Source organism: Homo sapiens, chromosome 8, assembly GCF_000001405.40.
Source record: "Homo sapiens chromosome 8, GRCh38.p14 Primary Assembly".
NCBI classification, from domain to species: Eukaryota; Metazoa; Chordata; class Mammalia; order Primates; family Hominidae; genus Homo; species Homo sapiens.
In genome coordinates, this window is record NC_000008.11 from 54,193,521 (window position 1) to 54,211,691 (window position 18,171).

An 18,171-nucleotide genomic window follows, 5' to 3' on the forward strand; every position below is an offset into this window, starting at 1 on the left:
TAATTTTCTTTTCAGACTATTCATTGCCAGTATATAGAAATGCAACCGATTTTTGTGTGTTGATTTCATATCCTGCAACATTGCTGAATTCATTAGCTCTAAAGTTTGTGTGTGTGCAGTCGCACAATCTTTGGGGTTTTCTACATAAAAGATCTTGCCCTCTGTGAACAGTGATAATTAATTATCCTTTTTCCTTCCCAATTTAGATTACTTTTGTTCTTTTTCTTGCCTAAATGCTCTGGCTAGAATTTCTAATCCTATGTTGAATTGAAATAGTGAAAGCAGGCAGCCTTGTCTTGTTAATGATTGTAGAGGAAAAGGTTTCATACTGTCTTTCCACCATTGAATGGTATTGGCACTCTTGTCAAAAATCAGTTGACCATATATGCAAAGGTGTTTGGAGTATGATGTTAGCTGTGGATTTTTCATATATGACCTTTATCATTTTGAGGAAGTTTCCTTCTACTCCTAGTATATTGAGTGTTTTTATCGTGAAAGGTGGTTGAATTTTTGTCAGGTGTTTTTCTGCATCAGTTGAGTTGATCATGTGCTTTTCTCCCCTGAATTCTATTAATGTAGTGTACTATATTGATTGATTTTTTTTTTGTTGAAGCATTCTTTTTTCATTGTTCTTATTTCATTTTTTGCTTTTCTATTTTAAATTGATAGATAATTGTACATATTAATGAGGTAAATTGTGATATTTTGATACACTTATACAATGTGTGATGATCAAATCATAGTAATTAGTATATTCATCATCTCAAAAATTTCCTTTTTTTGGTGTTCGGAACATTCAAAATCTACTCTTCTGGATACTTGAAAATATACAATAAGTTTTTGTTAGTTTTCCTATAGTGTTACGGAACACTAGAACTTACTACTCCTATATAGCTGTACTTTTGTATTTATTAACTGACCTTTACTGTCTATCCTCTGCTCCCACCTACCATTCCCAGGCACTGGTGACTACTATTCTACTCTCTACTTCTGTGAGATCAACTTTTTTTAGCTTTCACATATGAGTGAGAACATGCAGTACTTATCTTTCTATGCCTGGCTTATTTCACTTAATATTTTCCAAGCTCACTTATATAGCCGCTAATGACAGAATTTCATTCCTTTTTATGACTAAATAGTATTCCATTGTGTATACATATCACATTTTCTTTATGCATTCATCTGTTTTAAAACTTTTAATTTTTATGGATACACAATAGTTGTACATATTTACTTATTTATGGGGGTACATGTAATATTTTGATACGAGTGTCACAGTGTGTAATGACTAAATCAGGGTAATTAGGATAGCCATCATCTCAAGCATTTATCATTTCTTTGTGCTAGAAACATTCTTTTTTTTTTTTCTTTTCTGAGACAAGGTCTCAGTCTGTTGCCCAGGCTGGAGTGGCTCACTGCTTTCTCAACCTCCCAGCTCAAAGGAAGCCCCCAGCCTAGACTTCTGAGTAGCTGGGACTACAGGTGCACACCACCATGCCCAGCTAATTTTTGTAATTTTCTTTTGTAGAGATGGGGTTTCATTATGTTGCCCAAGCTGGTCTCGAACTTCTGGGCTCAAGCAATCTGCCCACCTTGGCCTGCCAAAGTACTGGGATTACAGGTGTAAGCCACCGTGCCAAACTGCTAGGAACATTCTAATGCCACTCTTTTACTTATTTTGAAATATACAATAAATTATTGTTAACTATAGTCTCCCTCTTCTGCTACTGAACACTAGCTCTCATTACCTCTATCTAACTATATTTTTGTGCCCATTAACCAACCTCTGTATGTTTCCTCCTCCTGACCACCCTTTCCAGCTTCTGGAAATCATTCTACTCTCTGTCTCCATGCGTTAAGTTTTTTTTTAGTTCCCACATATGATTGAGAAATATGATATTTGTCTTTCTGTGTCTGGCTTATTTCACTCAACATAATGTCCTCTAGTTCCATTCATGTCATTGCAAATGACAGGATTTCATTTTTTTTGGCTGTATAATACTCCATTATGTATATGTACCACATTTTCTTTATCCACTCATCCATTGACTATCCATTCATCTGTTGATGGAACTTAGGTTGATTCCATATCTTGGCTGCATATCTTGTGAATAGTACTGAAGTAAACATGGGGGTACAGATATCTTTTTCACATACCTATTTCTTTTCCTTTGGATACATACCCAACAGTGGGATTGCTAGGTCACATGGTAGTTCTATTTTTAGTTTTTTGAGAAACCTCCATACTGTTTTCCATAGTGGCTGTACTAATTTACATTCCCACCAACAGTGCATAAGAATTGTCCTTTTTCTGCATCCTCACCAGCATCTGTTTTTTTTTTGTTGTTGTTGCTTTTTTTTTTGAAATGGTGTCTCACTCTGTCACCCAGGCTGGAGTGTGGTGATGCGATCTCAGCTCACTGCAACCTCTGCCTCCCGGGTTCAAGCAATTCTCCTACCTCAGCCTCCCAAGTCGCTGGGATTACAGGTGTGCACCACTGTGCCCAGCTGTGTGTGTGTGTGTGTGTGTGTATTTTTAGTAGAGATTGGGTTTCACATGTTGGTCAGGCTGGTCTTGAACTCCTGACTTCAAATGATTTGCCTGCCTCAGCCTCCTAAAGTGCTGGCATTACAGACATGAGCCACTGTGCCTGGCCTTTTTTGTCTTTTTGAGAGTAGTCATTCTAATTGGAGTGAGATGGTATCTCATTGTGCTTTTAATTTGCATTTCCCTGATGATTAGTGATGTTGAACAATTTTTTCATATACCTGTTGGCCATTTGTATATCTTTGTTTGAGAGGTGTCTGTTTAGCTCATTTGCCCATTTTAAAATCAGATAATCTGAGTTTTTTGTTTTGTTTTGTTTCTTGCTGTTGAGTTGTTCGAGTTCTTTGTATATTTTAGATGTTAACCTCTTGTCAAATGAATAGTTTGCAAATATTTTCTCCCATTCAACAGATTGTCTCTTCACTTTGTTGATTGTTGTCTTTGCTGTGCAGAAGCTTTTTAGTTTAATATAGTCCCATTTGTCTATTTATGTTTCCACTGCTTGTGCTTTTGAGGTCTTAACCACAAACTCTTTGCCAAGACCAATGTCCTGGAGCATTGCTTCTATGTTTTCTTCTAGTAGTTTTATAGTTTTGTGTCTTATGTTTATGTCTTTAATTCATTTTGCATTGATTTTTGTATATGGTGAGAGATATGGGTCTGGTTTCATTCTGCATATGGATATCCAGCTTTCCCAGCACCATTTATTGAAGAGACTGTTCCTTCCTCAGTGAATGTTCTTGGCAACTTTGTCAAAAATCAGTTGGCTGTAAATATGTGGATTTATTTCTGGGTTCTCTATTCTGCTCCATTGGTCTATGTGTCTGTTTTTTATACCAGTACCATGCTGTTTTGGTTGTTATAGCTTTGTAGTATATTTTGAAGTCTTTAATGTGATACTTCCAGCTTTGTTCTTTTTTTCTCAGGATTGCTTTGGCTATTTGGGTTTTTTCTGGTTCCGTATGAATTTTCTGATTGTTTTTCCTATTTCTGTGAAGACTGTAATTGATGTTTTGATAGGGATTGCATTGAATCTGTTCATCACTTTTGGTAGTATAGTCATTTTCACAATATCAATTCCTTCAATCCACGAGCATGGAATGATGTCATTCCATTTTTGTGTGTGTGTATGTGTGTCCTCTTCAATTTCTTTCATCAATGTTTTATAGTTTTCCTTGTAGCAATTGTTTACCTTCTTGGTTATATTTATTCCTACATATTTTTAACTTTTTTTGTAGCTATTGTAAATAGAATTGCTTTCTTGATTCCTTTCCCACTAGTTTGTTGTTGGTGTATAGAAAAATTACTGATTTTTGTATGTTGATTTTGTATCTTGCAACTTAATTTGTCAGTTCTAAGGGATTTTTGGTGGAGCATTTACAATTTTTTGAAAACTATAAGATGATGTCATCTGCAACCAAGGAAAATTTGATTTCCTCTTTTCCAATTTGGATACACTTTATTTCTTTCTCTTGCCTAATTGTTCTGGTTAGGATATTCAGTACCATGTTGAATAAAAGTGGTTAAAGTGGATATCTTTGTCTTGTTCTAGTCTTTAGAGGAAAACCTTTCAACTTTTCCCATTCAGTATAATGTTTGCTGTGGGTTTTTCACATATGGCATTTATTATTTTGAAGTATGTTCCTTCTATACATAACTTGTTAAGATATTTTATGAAGGGATGTTACATTTTATCAAATGTTTTTTTCTGCATCTGTTGTTATGAGTGTATTTTTTTTGTCCTTTATCCTGTTGATGTGATGTATCACTTATAGATTTTAGTATGTTGAACCATCCTTGCATCCATGGGATAAATCCCACTTGAATACAGTGAATGATCTTTTTAATGTACTGCTGGGTTCAGTTTGCTAGTATTTTGTTGAGGATTTTTACATTTTTATTCATCAGGGATATTGGTCTATAGTTTTCTTTTTGTTGTGTCTTTGTTTGGTTTTGGCATAAGTTTAATGCTAGCCTGATTAAATGAGTTTAGAAGAATTTCCTCCTTTTAAATTTTCTGGAAGAGTTTGAGAAAAATTGGTATTAGTTCTTTAGATGTTCAGTAGAATTCTGCAGTGAAGAGATGATGGGAGACTTTCTATTACAGATTCAATCTCATTACTCATAACTGGTATGTGCAGGTTTTCTATTTCTTCTTGGTTCAGCCTTGGTGGGTTGTACGTGTCTAGGAATTTATCCATTTCTGTTAGGCTTTCTAATTTGTTGAAGTATAGTTGTAATAATCTCTAATGATCCTTTGTATTTCTTAGGTATCAGTTGAAACATCTCATTTTTTATTTCTGAATTTATTTGAGTCTTTTCTCCTTTTTTTCTTGGTTAGCCTAGCTAATGGTTTGTTGATTTATCTTTTTAAAAATCAATGTTTTATTTTGTTGATCTTTTTTATTTCTTGTCTCAATTTTACTTCTGCTCTGATCTTTATTATTTCTTTCTTTCTACTAAGTTTGGGTTTGGTTTTTCTTGCTTTTTTTAGTTCCTTCGATGAATCATTAGGTTATTTACTTGAAATCTTTCTACCTTTGTGATACAGGCAGTTATTGCTATTACCTTTCTTCTTAATAGTGCTTTTGCTGTATTACATAGGTTTTGGTATGTTATGTTTCTATTTTCATTTGTTTCAAATAGTTTTTAAATTTTCTTCTTTGTTTATTCACTGACCTATTGGTAATTCAGGAGCATGTTGTTTAATTACCATGTATTTGTACATTTTTGAAAGTTCCTCTTGTTATTGATTTCTAGTTTTATTCTATTGTGATCTGAAAAGATACTTGATATGATTTAAAATTTTAAAAACTTGTTGAGACTTGTTCTGTGGGCCTAGTATGTGGTCTATCCTGGACAATGTTCCATGTGCTGGTGAAAAGAATGTCTACTCTGCAGCTATTGGGTGAAACGTCCTGTAAATGTCTGTGAGGTCCATTTGGTCTACAGTCCAGTTTAAATTCGATCTGCCTTTGTTGATTTTCTGTGTAGATGCTCTATTCAATGCTGACAGTGGGGTGTTGAAGTCCCCAACTCTTATTGTATTAGAATGTATCTCTTCCTTTAGACCTAATAATATTTGTTGATATATCTGGGTGTTCCGATATTGAATGCACATGTATATTTACAATTTTTGTTTTGTTTTGTTTTGTGTTTTAGATAGGGTCTCACTTTGTCTCCCAGGCTGGAGTGCAGTGGCATAATCAGAGCTCACTGCAACCACCTCACAGGCTTAAGTGATCCTCTCATTTTGGCCTCCTGAGTAGCTGGAACTGCAGGCATGTGCCAACATGCCCAGCTAATTTTTTGTATTTTTTAGTAGAGACAAGGTTTTGCCATGTTGCCCAGGCTGGTCTTGAACTCCTGAGCTCTGAGAGATCTGTCTGCCTCAGCCTTCCAAAGTGCTGGGATTACAGGTGTGAGCCACCGTGCCTGGCCTACAATTGTTATATTCTCTTGTGAATTGAAAGCTTTATCATTACATAATGACTTTCTTTGTCTCTTTTTACCGTTTTTGACTTAAAGTCTGTCTTATCTAACATAAGTATAGCTATGCCTGTGTGCTTTTGATTCTAATTTGAATGGAATATCACTTCATTTTCAGTCTGTATGTGTGTTTACAGTGAAGTGAGTTTCTTGTAGGCAGCATATATTTGGGTCATGATTTTTTAAATGCATTCAGACAGGCTGTATCTTTAATAATTTAATCTGTTTACATTCAAAGTTATTTTTGACAGGTGAGGACATACTCTTGTTATTTTGTTAATTGTTTTCTGGTCAGTCATTTTGTATATTCTTCTTGTCTCTTCTCTTGTTATTATTGTGGTTTGGTGGTTTTCTGTAGTGATACGTTTTGATTCTTTTCTCTTTCTCTTTTGTGTATCTTGTGTGTCTTCTCTACCAGTAAGTGCTATACCTCTGTGTGTTTTCATAATAGTGATTATTGTCTTTTTGCTTCCAGATGTAGGACACTTTGAACATTTCTTGTAAGGTTAGTCTAGTGGTGATAAATTCCCTCACTTTTTTGATTGCCTAGGAAAGACTTTATTTCTCCTTCCTTTCTGAAGGATAGTTTTGCTTTGCATAGTATTCTTGGCTGGCATTTTTTTAAATTGAATTTCAGCAATTTGAATATATCATGTCATTCTCTCCTGACCTATAAGGTTTTTGCAGAGAAATCTGCGTTAGTCTGATGAAGATTCCCCTTATATGTTTCCTGGCACTTTTTTCTTGCTATTTTTAGAACTCTCCCTTTGTCTTTGACTTTTGACAATTTGACTGTAATGTGCCTCATTAAAGGAGGATCTTTTTGGGTTGCATCTATATGGAGACTTTTGAGCTTCCTGGATCTGAATGTTTGTATATTTCCTTAGACTTGGGAATTTTCAGCTATTATTTCATTACATATGTTTTCTATGCCTGTTCCCTTCTCTTCTCCTTCTGGAGTTTCCATACTATAAAAATTGTCCCATGAATCTTGTAATGGTGTCCCATGAATCTTGTAGGTTTCATTGGCTCTATTTTTTTCCTTTCTGACTTTTATTTTAGGCTCAGTGGGTACATGTGCAGGTTTGTTGTATGGTAAATTGCATGTTGTAGGGGTTTAGTGTATAGATTATTCTGTCACTCAGATAATGAACATAGTAACCAGTAGGTAGTTTTTTGATCCCCACCTTCCTGATACCTTCCACTGTCAAATAGACTCCAGTGTCTATTGTTTCCTTCTTTGTGTTCTACTCACTCTTTTTCATTCTTATTTATTTGCTCTCTGACTGGGTAATTTCAAACAACCCATCTTCAAGTTCAGAAATTCTTCTGCTTGATCAAGTCTGCTGAGCTTCAGCAGCAGACTTGCTGTTGAGCTATTGTATTTTTAATTGTATTAATTGAGTTCTTCAACCACAGGATTTCTGTTTTGTTCTTTTTCATAATTTCTATCTCTTTGTTTTACATCTCATTCGTATCATAAGTTGTTTTTCTAATTTTGTTGAATTGTCTATCTGTATTTTTTGTATTTCATTGAGTTTCCTTAAGATCATTATTTTGAATTCATTTTCCTGCAATGTATTGATTTTCTTTTCACTGGACTCTGTTACTAGAGTTATTATGTACCTTTGGTGGTATGATATTTCCTTACTTTTTCATGTTTCTTCTGTCCCTGTATTTATGTCTATGCATCTGATAGAACAATTGCCTCTTCCAAATGTTTTAGAGTGACTTTCATAGAGAAAGACTTTCATCTGCAGTTGGATTTTAGAGTGCCAGTTGTGATGAGTGTGGTGACCCTATTTCTGGATAGGTGCATTAGCATACTCTTTATGCAGCTTCTTCTGTTGTGTTCAATGTCAGTAATAACTGTGGACATCTCAGTGGCCTAGGCTGTAAAAATTTGTGACGGGGCAATAGTGGCATTGGTTGTTAATATCCTCAGTATAAAGGGCTTTTGTGGTCCTCCTGTTGTTTTCTTCTCAATGAGGGGACTTAGCTGAGGGGATCTCTCTTGGTGTTGGGTCTGACATAGCCTACAAGCATCTGCAGTGGCACTGGATTACAGGTGCAAGTGCTTTAAGCAGTTGTGGGGTTGTGGTCTTCGGTTCACAGTCTCATGAACTTATCATGGCACCTGGGTCTTGGGGTGCAGGTTTGCTCTTTGTGGCAGGGTTAGATGTAGGTTGCCCACAGAGCCAGGATCTGTGACTCTATGGCACCCCCTAGTAGCTCAGGCCCAGGGGTGGAATTGTTGCTGAGATTATACCCCTGGGGGGAGGGCACAACCCTGGCCTGAGTTTGGGGAGGAAGGAATGAATGCTTTAGAGGTTTGAGCCTGGGAAGCAGGGTATGGCTGCAATTTGGGAAGCTGAGCCAGTAGGGCTCAGTGATAACTCAGGTCCCATTGGATGAGGTACTATGTAGTAGTGACTCTAGGCCTTGAGATGGTCAGGGTTGGGAGTATCTCAGACTCAGTGAGGGCAAGTGCAGTGGCAGTAAGTACCCCAGAATGGCAGAGCACAGCTATCATTTGGGCCCTGAGGAGTAGGGCAGAAGAAAGCACAGTGATGAGTCTACTCCCCAGGAAGAGGGGTGTTTCAGCAGCTAAGACTTTAGTAGGCTAGTCCAGCTCCAGGGAAGCAGAATACTAGATCCGTTTGGCCTGTAGGGCTGAGTGTCTCAGCTCAGCCATTGCTCCATTTCTCTGGGACACCGGATACTATTTCAGCTCAACCTTGGGATGTGGAGCTGCTCAGCTCATCCAGGGCACCAGTTCCTTAGGGGGCAATGTGCTACTTCAGCTCAGGCCTGGAAAGGCAGGACTGTTCTGGGTGGCCCAGGAACCATTTCCCTGGAATGCAGGATGCCCTGCGGCTTAGGTACTGGTGTGTGTGTGACTGCTCTGGGTGGTCAGGGCACCACTTTCTAGGATGCAGGGTGCTGCTTCAACTTAGGTACCAGAGAAGTATGAGTGCCATACATGTACAAGGTAGTCTTTTCCCAGGAGACAGGGTACCACTTCAGCTCTGACCTGAGGGGCTGGGGAGGAGTAGGTGGAGGACCTTTGCCTCTGCTTGGTTCCGTAGGGAAGGGTGTAATAGCTGCTCACAGCTGAGCTTGGGGATGTTGGGCCACTGGGCTGGAGTAGCTCAGTGGTGGCTTAGCCTCAAGGATGAAGGCGAGCCAAGGGTACTCACTTCCTGGACAAGACATTCTCCATCCATAGTTTCAAATCCAAGATGGCACAGCACAGTAGTTTTGCAGGCCCCAGGAGGTGGAGCACAGTGTTGGTGCCTTCTCTAGTGGGACCACAGCTATGTGGTCTCCAGGCAGTTCCCTCACTGGGCTTAGTTCCTGTGAGGACTGCAGGGGACCCCAGCGGTGAGGCCTGTAGGTGTCCAAGGTGTTCATGCAGGTTGCTGGGATCCTCTTTCTTACCTCATTGCCAAAGGAGAAGGTCTCTCCTCATTCCCAGCCCATCCTGGTTAGGGAATGGGATGGTGGAGGCTCAGTGTTTCCTTTGGTTCTCTATGTGGCCATTCCAATTTTCTGTGCTCACCCGGATTTCTATTACTCCTCTGATGCACAATGACACTCTCCTTCAGTTATTTTTATTGCAATGTTATCGTTTATTCATTGTTCTGGATGTTTTTGTGAGGGGGACAAGCACTAAAGGCTTCTGGTCAGCCATCTTGCTCCATTGAACCATTCTTGCTTTCCGAGATTAAATCCCACTTAGTCATGGTGTTTAATCCTTTTAATATGCTGTTGAATTTGGTTTGCTAATTTTTTTTTTGAGGATTTTTGCATTAATATTCACAAGGGTTATTACCCTACAGTTTTCTTTTTTTGGCAACATCTTTGTCTGGCTTCAGTATCAGGGTCATGCTGGCCTCAGAGAATGACTTAAGAAGTATTACCTCCTCTTCAAGTTTTTGGAAGAGTTTCAGAAGGATTGGTGTTAATTCATTGTTAAGTATTTGGTATAGTCCAGGCATGGTGGCTAATGATTGTAATCTCAGCATTTTGAGAGGCTAAGGTAGGAGGATCACCTGAGCTCAGGAGTTCAAGACCAGCCTGGGCAATGTAGGGAGTCACTATCTCTACAAAAAAATTTTTAAAAAATATTAGCTGGGCATGGTGGCATGTATCTGTAGTCCTAGCTACTTGGGAGGCTTAAGTGGGAGGATTGCTGGGGCCCAGGAAGTAAAGGCAGCAGTGAGCTGTGATCACACCACTGCACTCCAGCCTGGGTGACAGAGCAAGACCCTATCTCAGGAAAAAAAAAAAGCATTTGGTGTAATTCACCAGTAAAGCCATCTGTTCCTCAGCTTTTTGTTGTTGATATTGTTGAGAGGTTTTGATTATTGATTCAATCTCCTTACTAGTTGTGTCTATTCAGATTTTCTAATTATTTATCAGTCAATTTTGATAGATCATGTGTTTTCAGGAATTTGTCCATGTCATCCAGGTTATCCAGTTTTGAAGAATATGCTTGTTTAGTATAGCTTTTAAAGATAGTGATGAATTACATATGACATAAAATTTACCATCTTACTCATATATATATATATATATATATATTTTTTTTTTTTTTTTTTTTTTTTTTTTTTTTGAGACAGAGCTTCATTCTTGTTGCCCAGGCTGGAGTGCAATGGCCCAATCTCAGCTCACTGCAACCTCCACCTCCTGGGTTCAAGTGATTCTCCTGCCTCAGCCTCCCAAGTAGCTGGATTGCAGGTGCTCGCCACCACACCTGGCTAATTTTTGTATTTTTAGTAGAGATGGGGTTTCACCATGTTGGCCAGGTTGGTCTTGAACTCCTGACCTCAGGTGATCCACCCACCTCGGCCTCCCAAAGTGTTGGGATTACAGGCGTGAGCCACCATGCCCGGCCCGTCTTACCCATTTCTAAATGTACAGTTCACTGGCATTAAGTATACTTAGTTGTGAACCATTACAACATCCATCTCCAGAAGTCCTTTCATCCTGCAAAACTGAAACTCTGTACCCATTAAACAATAATTTCCCACTTTCCCCTATCCCCAGTCCCTGGCAACCACCATTCTACTTTCTATCTCTATGAATTTGACTACTCCAGGTACCTCATATAAGTGGCATCATCCACTGTTTGTCCTTTTGTGACTGGCTTATTTCACTTAGCATAATGTCCTCAAAATTCATCCATGTTATAGCAAGTATCAGCCTTTTCTTCCTCTTTATGGCTGAATAATATTCCTTTGCATGTATAGACCACTTTTTCTATGTCCATTTATCCATCAATGGACACTTGTGTTGCTCCCACCTTTTGGATATTAGCACAGTGTTTTCAGTCACAAAAACCTGATTTTGAGAACTGTTTCTGTACTTGTGAGCTTTTGGACTTTGGGTAACTTAATTTGTGTAATCCTCAGTTTCCTCATCCTTAATAGGGGGATAATGATAGTGCCTTCATTGTAGAGTTATTGAGTTAAATGACTATATTCAAAGCACTTAACACATAGTGCCTCTGTAACCATTTGTTACCATCAGCACAGTGGTGCTGGAGAGTTTGTTTTTAGAATCAAATAGCCCTGTGTTCATCTAGTATGTGACTAAGGGAAGTTATTTGAGTTACAGTTTCCTTATTTAAAAAATGGAAATAATAACACACTATTTTATTTGACAAATGTTTATTGATATCTACTCTCAATATCTGCATTATTCTATGAGATGGGATACAGGTGAACAAAACAGAAAAAGTAATCCATGCCCTCGTAGAACTTACATTCTAGTGGTGTGAGAACTGAAACAGAAATAATTCTCAATTGATGTATTAAACAATACTAGGAAATGGTGCTTGTTTATCAAGACTAACAGTTTACGTATCAAACCCTACAAGACCCTCACCTCAATCCTCCCACCAATTCAAAGCTGGTATGTCATACATCATCTGATTCCAGCCAATTCTCCTCCTTACAAGATCATCCTTGGCATCACCTAGTTGAAGCCTTAAATCCCCACAAAGACTCTGCTCTAACTTCTCATTTTGAAACACTACTAAGATTCTGTCAAAGTGGTCTGCTTCTTTATTGCAGGAAATCTCATAAACCCAGTTTTGATTGACTAACAGGTTTTTCTGGTGATTGGGTAGTCAACAACAATAAACAAGTGTGTTAGTCTGTTTTCACGCTGCTGATAAAGACATACTCGAAACTGGGCAATTTGCAAAAGAAAGAGGTTTATTGGACTTACAGTTCCACATGGCTGGGGAGGCCTCACAATCATGGCAGAAGGCAAGGAGAAGCAAGTCACATCTTACATGGATGGCAGCAGGCAAAAAGAAAGCTTGTACAGGGAAACACCCCCTTATAGAACCCTCAGATCTCATGAGACTTATTCACTCTCATGAGAACAGCATGGGAAAGACCTGCCCCCATGATTCAATTACCTCCCCCTGGGTCCCTCCCACAACACATGGGAATTCAAGATGAGATTTGGGTGAAGACACAGCCAAACCGTATCAACAAGATACATAAATTATAGAGTTGTGATAACAAGATGAAGGGAGAGGGCTCATGGGAAGGAGGCTTTGCAGGGCAGATTGTTTTATTTATTTGACTTTACTCTGAGTAAGGATGAGAAGCAATTGGAAGGCTTGAGCCAGAGAAGTGGCATGATCTGCTTTATCATTTAGCAGGATGACTCTGGCATCCACATTGATAAATGACTGAAGAGAGCAAAGGTGAGGAACCAGGAGGTGGACATGGTGGTTCATTCTCATAATCCCAGCACTTTGGGAGGCTGAGGCAAGTGGATCACTTGAGCTTAGGAGTTCGAGACCAGTCTGGGCAACATGGTGAAAACCCACCTCCACAAATAATACAAAAATTAGCTGGGCATGGTGGCACAAGCCTGTAGTCCCAGCTACTTGGGAGGCTGAGGTGGGATGATCACCTGAGCCCAGGGAGGTTGTGGCTGCAGTGAACCATGATCATGCCGCTGCACTCCAGCCTGGGTGACAGAGTGTAACCCTGTCTCAAAACCAAACCAAAGTAAACTAAACTAAACTAAACTGAAGGTGGGAGCCAGGGACCATTTAGGAGGCTCAGACTGGGGTGGTAGGGATGGATCTGGGGAGAGGTGGTCGGACTCTCTTACCTATTTTGAAATGGGAACCAATGGAATTTGTCGATGGATCAGATGGGAGTGTGTGAGGAAGCAGCTCACCTATCCTACAGGATGTCATGAGCTTTCAACATCACGATGTTTGTAATCTGTCAGTGCTCAGTAAACAGCAGCAATTTGAAGATTCTTACATGTTTCTTCTCTGCCTAGATCTGGGTGTTCCCACCTCTGTCACTTGCTAAACTGCCAAAGATGCCTCTTTCCCCAGGGGCACCTTCCTGATGCTCTCACTCAAGCTTAGGTGTCCTCCATATGCCTCTATCATCCACTCTCCTTTGCAAGCACCACATGTGGCCCCAGTGCTGTGGACTCTTGCAGCCCCTTACTTGTTTCTGTTCCCCTACAGACTGCCCTCTCCATGAGGCTGGCCTCATCTGCCCTGCTCACTACTGAATACTCTGCACCCAGGACAAAGCCTACAACACAGCCGGTGTCCAGCCCGTGCTTGTTGATTATTATTGACATCTTTTATTTTTTTGAGACAGGGTCTGCCTCTGTCACCCAGGCTGGAGTGCAATGGCGTGATCTTGGCTCACTGCAACCTCTGCCTCCTGGGCTCAAGCGATTCTCATGTCTCAGCCTCCCAAGTAGCGGGGATTACGGGTGTGCACCACCATGCCTGTCTAATATTTGTATTTTTAGTAGAGAAGGGGTTTTGCCATGTTGGCCAGGCTGGTCTTTTAACTCCTGGCCTCAAATGATCCGCCTGCCTTGGCCTCCCAAAGTGCTGGGATTACAAGCGTGAGCCACTGTGCCTGACCTTAACATCTTAATAATCTGTAATGAGGAAAAAAGGGTAGTTCCGTTATCTCAAGCATGAAGTTTGGGTTCCACTCACAGAGGCTCTATGCCTGTAATCCCAGCACTTTGGGAGGCCGAGGTGGGCAGATCACGAGGTCAGGAGATCGAGACCATCCTGGCTAACACGGTGAAACCCCATCTCTACTAAAAATACAGAAAAATTAGCCAGCCATGGTGGCGGGCACCTGCAGTCCTAGCTACTTGGGAGGCTGAGGCAGGAGAATGGCATGAACCCGGGAGGCGGAGTTTGTGGGCAAAATTGTGAAGTATCCAAAGTCTTATGGAGTTTTTGCATTAATTTTGACTTTTTTTTTTTTTTTCTAGATGGAGTCTCACTTTGTCACCAAGCTGGAGTGTGGTGGCATGATCTTGGCTCACTGCAACCTCCCAGGTTCAAGCTATTCTCCTGCCTCAGCCTCCCGAGTAGCTGGGACTACAGGCGCACGCCACCACACCCAGCTAATTTTTGTATTTTTAGTAGAGACAGGGTTTCACCATGTTCGCCAGGGTGGTCTCTATTTCTTGACCTCGTGATTTGCCCACCTTGGCCTTCCAAAGTGCTGGGATTACAGGCATGAGTCACTGTGCCCGGCCTAATTTTGATTTTTTAAAACATTTAATTAAAATGTTATTTAATTACTGAGTTTTTGGTATCCCTGTCATTTTTGTGCCCTGGGAAAGAAAGTACCTCCCCACCTTACCCAGCCCTGGCCCTGCTGGAGAGGCAGTAGGGGTTAGGAAGGCGCTGTGGGACGTGGGATTAGGTAAGCATGGCATTTTTCTGAGTGTTATATGAGGTGTTTTGAAGAGAAAGTCTTAAAGGCACCAAGGTGGGTGTACTAGTCTGCTCAAGCTGCCATCACAAAATCCCTAAGGCTGGATGGCCCAAACAATGAACACTTATTTTCTCATAGCTCTGGAGGCTGGAAATCCAAGGTCAAGGTGCCTGCAGGGTAGGTTTCTGGTGAGGCCTCTCTCCCTGGCTCGCAGATGTCCACCTTCTCACTGGATGCTCACATGAACTCTTTTTTTGTGTTCACTTGGAGAGAGAGTCATGGTGCCAGTTCTTTTTCTTTTCTGAGACAGAGCCTCACTCTGTCACCTAGGCTGGAGTGCAGTGGTGTGATCATGGCTCACTGCAGCCTCAAACTCCTGAGCTCAAGCAATTCTCCTACCTCAGCCTCCCAAGTAGCCAGGATCACAGGTGTGTGCCACCATGGCTGGCTAATTTTTTTTTTTATGTTATAGAAAGAGGGTCTCACTGTGTTGCCCAGGCTTCCTTTGCTTATAAGAACATCAGTTCTATTGCTTTGGGCACCCCCTTATGACCTCATTGAACCTTAACTACCTTCCTAAAAGCCTGACCTCTGAATGCGGTCACATTGGGAGTTATGGTTTCAACATACAATTATTTTGTATTGGAGGCACAATTCAGTCCATACCAGTGGGTACCCAGCCCCCATTCAGATCATGTTGCCTGGGGTAGGAGCTCGGTGCTGAGAGACGAACAGGTCAGGTTTGGATTTGGGCTCTTCTAATTAGCTGTGTGATCTTGAGCTAATCACTTAACTTCTCTGAACCTCAGCTTCTCCACCTCTACAATCAGTCCATATTTCTTATCTCACAGGGAGATGGAGGGACTAATCTGAGATGCATATAAAAACCTTGAAGACAATTCTCAGTAAACTTTAGGTTTCCTCCCTTTAGCAAACTAATTGGAATTCAGGAAGCAGCAACTGGCACTGTAGTTAGAATGCGGTTCTGTTCATTGACTTCGGGCAGCTGCAGGGCTCGAGGGTGACATTACACAGAGTCTGTCTATGATTTTTCTAAGTTTCAGTGGCTGCACACCCTTATCCCACATAAGATTAGATTTTCACGCAGACATTGGGCAAGAGTCCCAGGCCTCACAGATATTCTTGGGTCAACCAGGAACTCTCCATTGCTGTCGAGTACGAGGGAAAGTGCCGAGTCATGGATTTGTTTCCTTCAGATTTTGTGTGGTTCTTATCATGTTCTTCAGGAAACATTAGCACACCCAGCTATTAATAATGATGATGGAATGAAATTTCTGACTAAATCCGGGGTGGAGGTGAGGGTCACCTGCCTGCCTGGCTAACCTATACTTCTATCTATCCAGGAAGGAAGGGAGCTATCTGGAGGCAGGCTAAGGAGATAGGAATGTCCAACATGCTGGGAATCCCTCGACTTCACGCAACAGGGTAACCCAAGCCTCCCGAAGGTCAGGCTTGGGCGGGAGGGGTCAGTGTTGTCATTGGCACATTTTCCCAACCAAGTCCAAAATCCCTTAGTAGGCAAAGAGTTGAGATAGGGAAACAGTACCTGGGGCCGCACTGAGAGTGAGATGATGGTCCTCATCCCCGCGCAGATGGGAATCTTTGTTTAGATTAACAGAGGACTGTACATACACCCTCAAAACAGATTAGATATTTTCCCTGGGAACTTGCTGTAATTCTTACTCCCCTTGCCCCTCTTTTCCATGAAAGCATGAGGTTACACTGATGAACGCTCCTCCCTTCCTGCACTCCTTCTTGGGCCCTTGCCGCTGCTATGTCCCTTCAATTGCCCTAACAGTGTTGATGAGCAGAAATAGTGTCAGATCATGATGTCAGCAATAATGTCAGATTTCTGTTGGGTGCCTAGGACCTTCCAAGATTTATGGCTACCAGTAAATCACAAGAGAGACTTTCCTCCCAGAAGGTGAAGGACAGCTATGGTCATGCCTCTCACTGAGTAGTCTCTTTTAGACAATTGCCGGCATTACTGGGTGCAGAAGCTCATTTGTTTCCCCACAACCTGCGTGGAAAACTTCACTCAAGTGCTGGAATATATGCTATGCTCCCATTGCCCATCAAATCCAGACCTAACTGACATAAGGGAATGTTCATTTCAACTATTATTGGTCCTTTCCCCTTATAGCATTCATCCTTGAGAAGTTTCCACAACAGAATTAAATTTCTGACATTTAAATCAGGTTAATGATTAACTTAAGGAACCCAGAAAAAATTTCTGTTGCAATCTGTTATTGGAAATAGAGGAGTAACGCACTGCAGCTGACTGGAGCCATGAACTTGGGCAAGTCCTCAACATCTACAAGTGCACCGGCAATACAGAACCACAGGTCACAGGTGGCTTCTTCTTTTTTTTTTTTTTTTTGAGACGGAGTGTCACTCTGTTGTCCAGGCTGGAGTGCGGTGGCACAATCTTGGCTCACAGCAACCTCTGCCTCCTGCATTCAAGTGACTTTCCTGCCTCAGCCTCCCAAGTAGCTGGGACTACGGAGGCCCACCACCACACCCAGATAATTTTTACACTTTTTAGTAGAGATGTGGTTTTGCCATGTTGGCTGGGTTGGCCTTGAACTCCTGACCTCAGGTGATCCACCTGCCTCAGCCTCCCAGAGTGCTGGGATTATAGGTGTGAACCACCACGCCTGGCCCACAGGTGGCTTCTTAAATTAAAACTTAAATTAGTTAAAATTAAAAATTCAGTTCCTTAATTGTACTAGTCACAGTCAAGTGCCCAAAAGCTACATGTGGCTGTGGCTACGGCATAGAGCAAGCAGATAGAGAATGTTTCCATCAGCGCCTATTTCATCATCTGAGAGGGGAGTGACAGGCACCTCAGATGTCGCATGAGATGGTGCATGTACAGACACTTTGCATATTATGAAGTGCAACACAAGCCTTGTTGTCAGCCTTGACTTGTCATTTGGATGGATGCAAAGTGGATTCCAGGTTCCTAATGAAAAGCTTTATGAAATAATCTGAATCTTTTGGTGTATCTGTTGAATGGTTTTCTAAGTCAGCCCTATTTTTTTTTCCATTATAATCAGCAGTGCTGAGAACCCACCTTTTCTGGGCAGAAAGAGGGTAAAAGTCTTGTCCACTCTAACTCCTGGATTCCCACTGTCCTCAATCAATCAACACCTCCTCCTGGATAAGCTCAGGGACTCCTTTTTATCCCGACTCTCGGTCTCCAGTTCTACAGCAGCATAGTACCTTTGGGAGGGCATAAAGCTATCTTTCCTCTGCCCCTGCTGTCATACATAGACGTTGTCCCCTTCTCTCCACATCCCAGCCGTGGCTGCCCTCTCAGACCCTCCATTCTGATGATGGGCCACATGAAGATGTTAAGGACCC

General features: G+C 41.1%; 1 annotated feature.

The window, feature by feature from the left end:
• Nucleotides 15,446-16,645: an enhancer, noted in NCBI's record as "BRD4-independent group 4 enhancer chr8:55121526-55122725 (GRCh37/hg19 assembly coordinates)". NCBI's record gives its function as "activates an origin of replication core promoter dependent on BRD2, P300/CBP, MED14 and CDK7 cofactors, and independent of BRD4, by STARR-seq in HCT116 cells {active_cell/tissue: HCT116}" and the evidence as "EXISTENCE:reporter gene assay evidence [ECO:0000049][PMID:35650434]".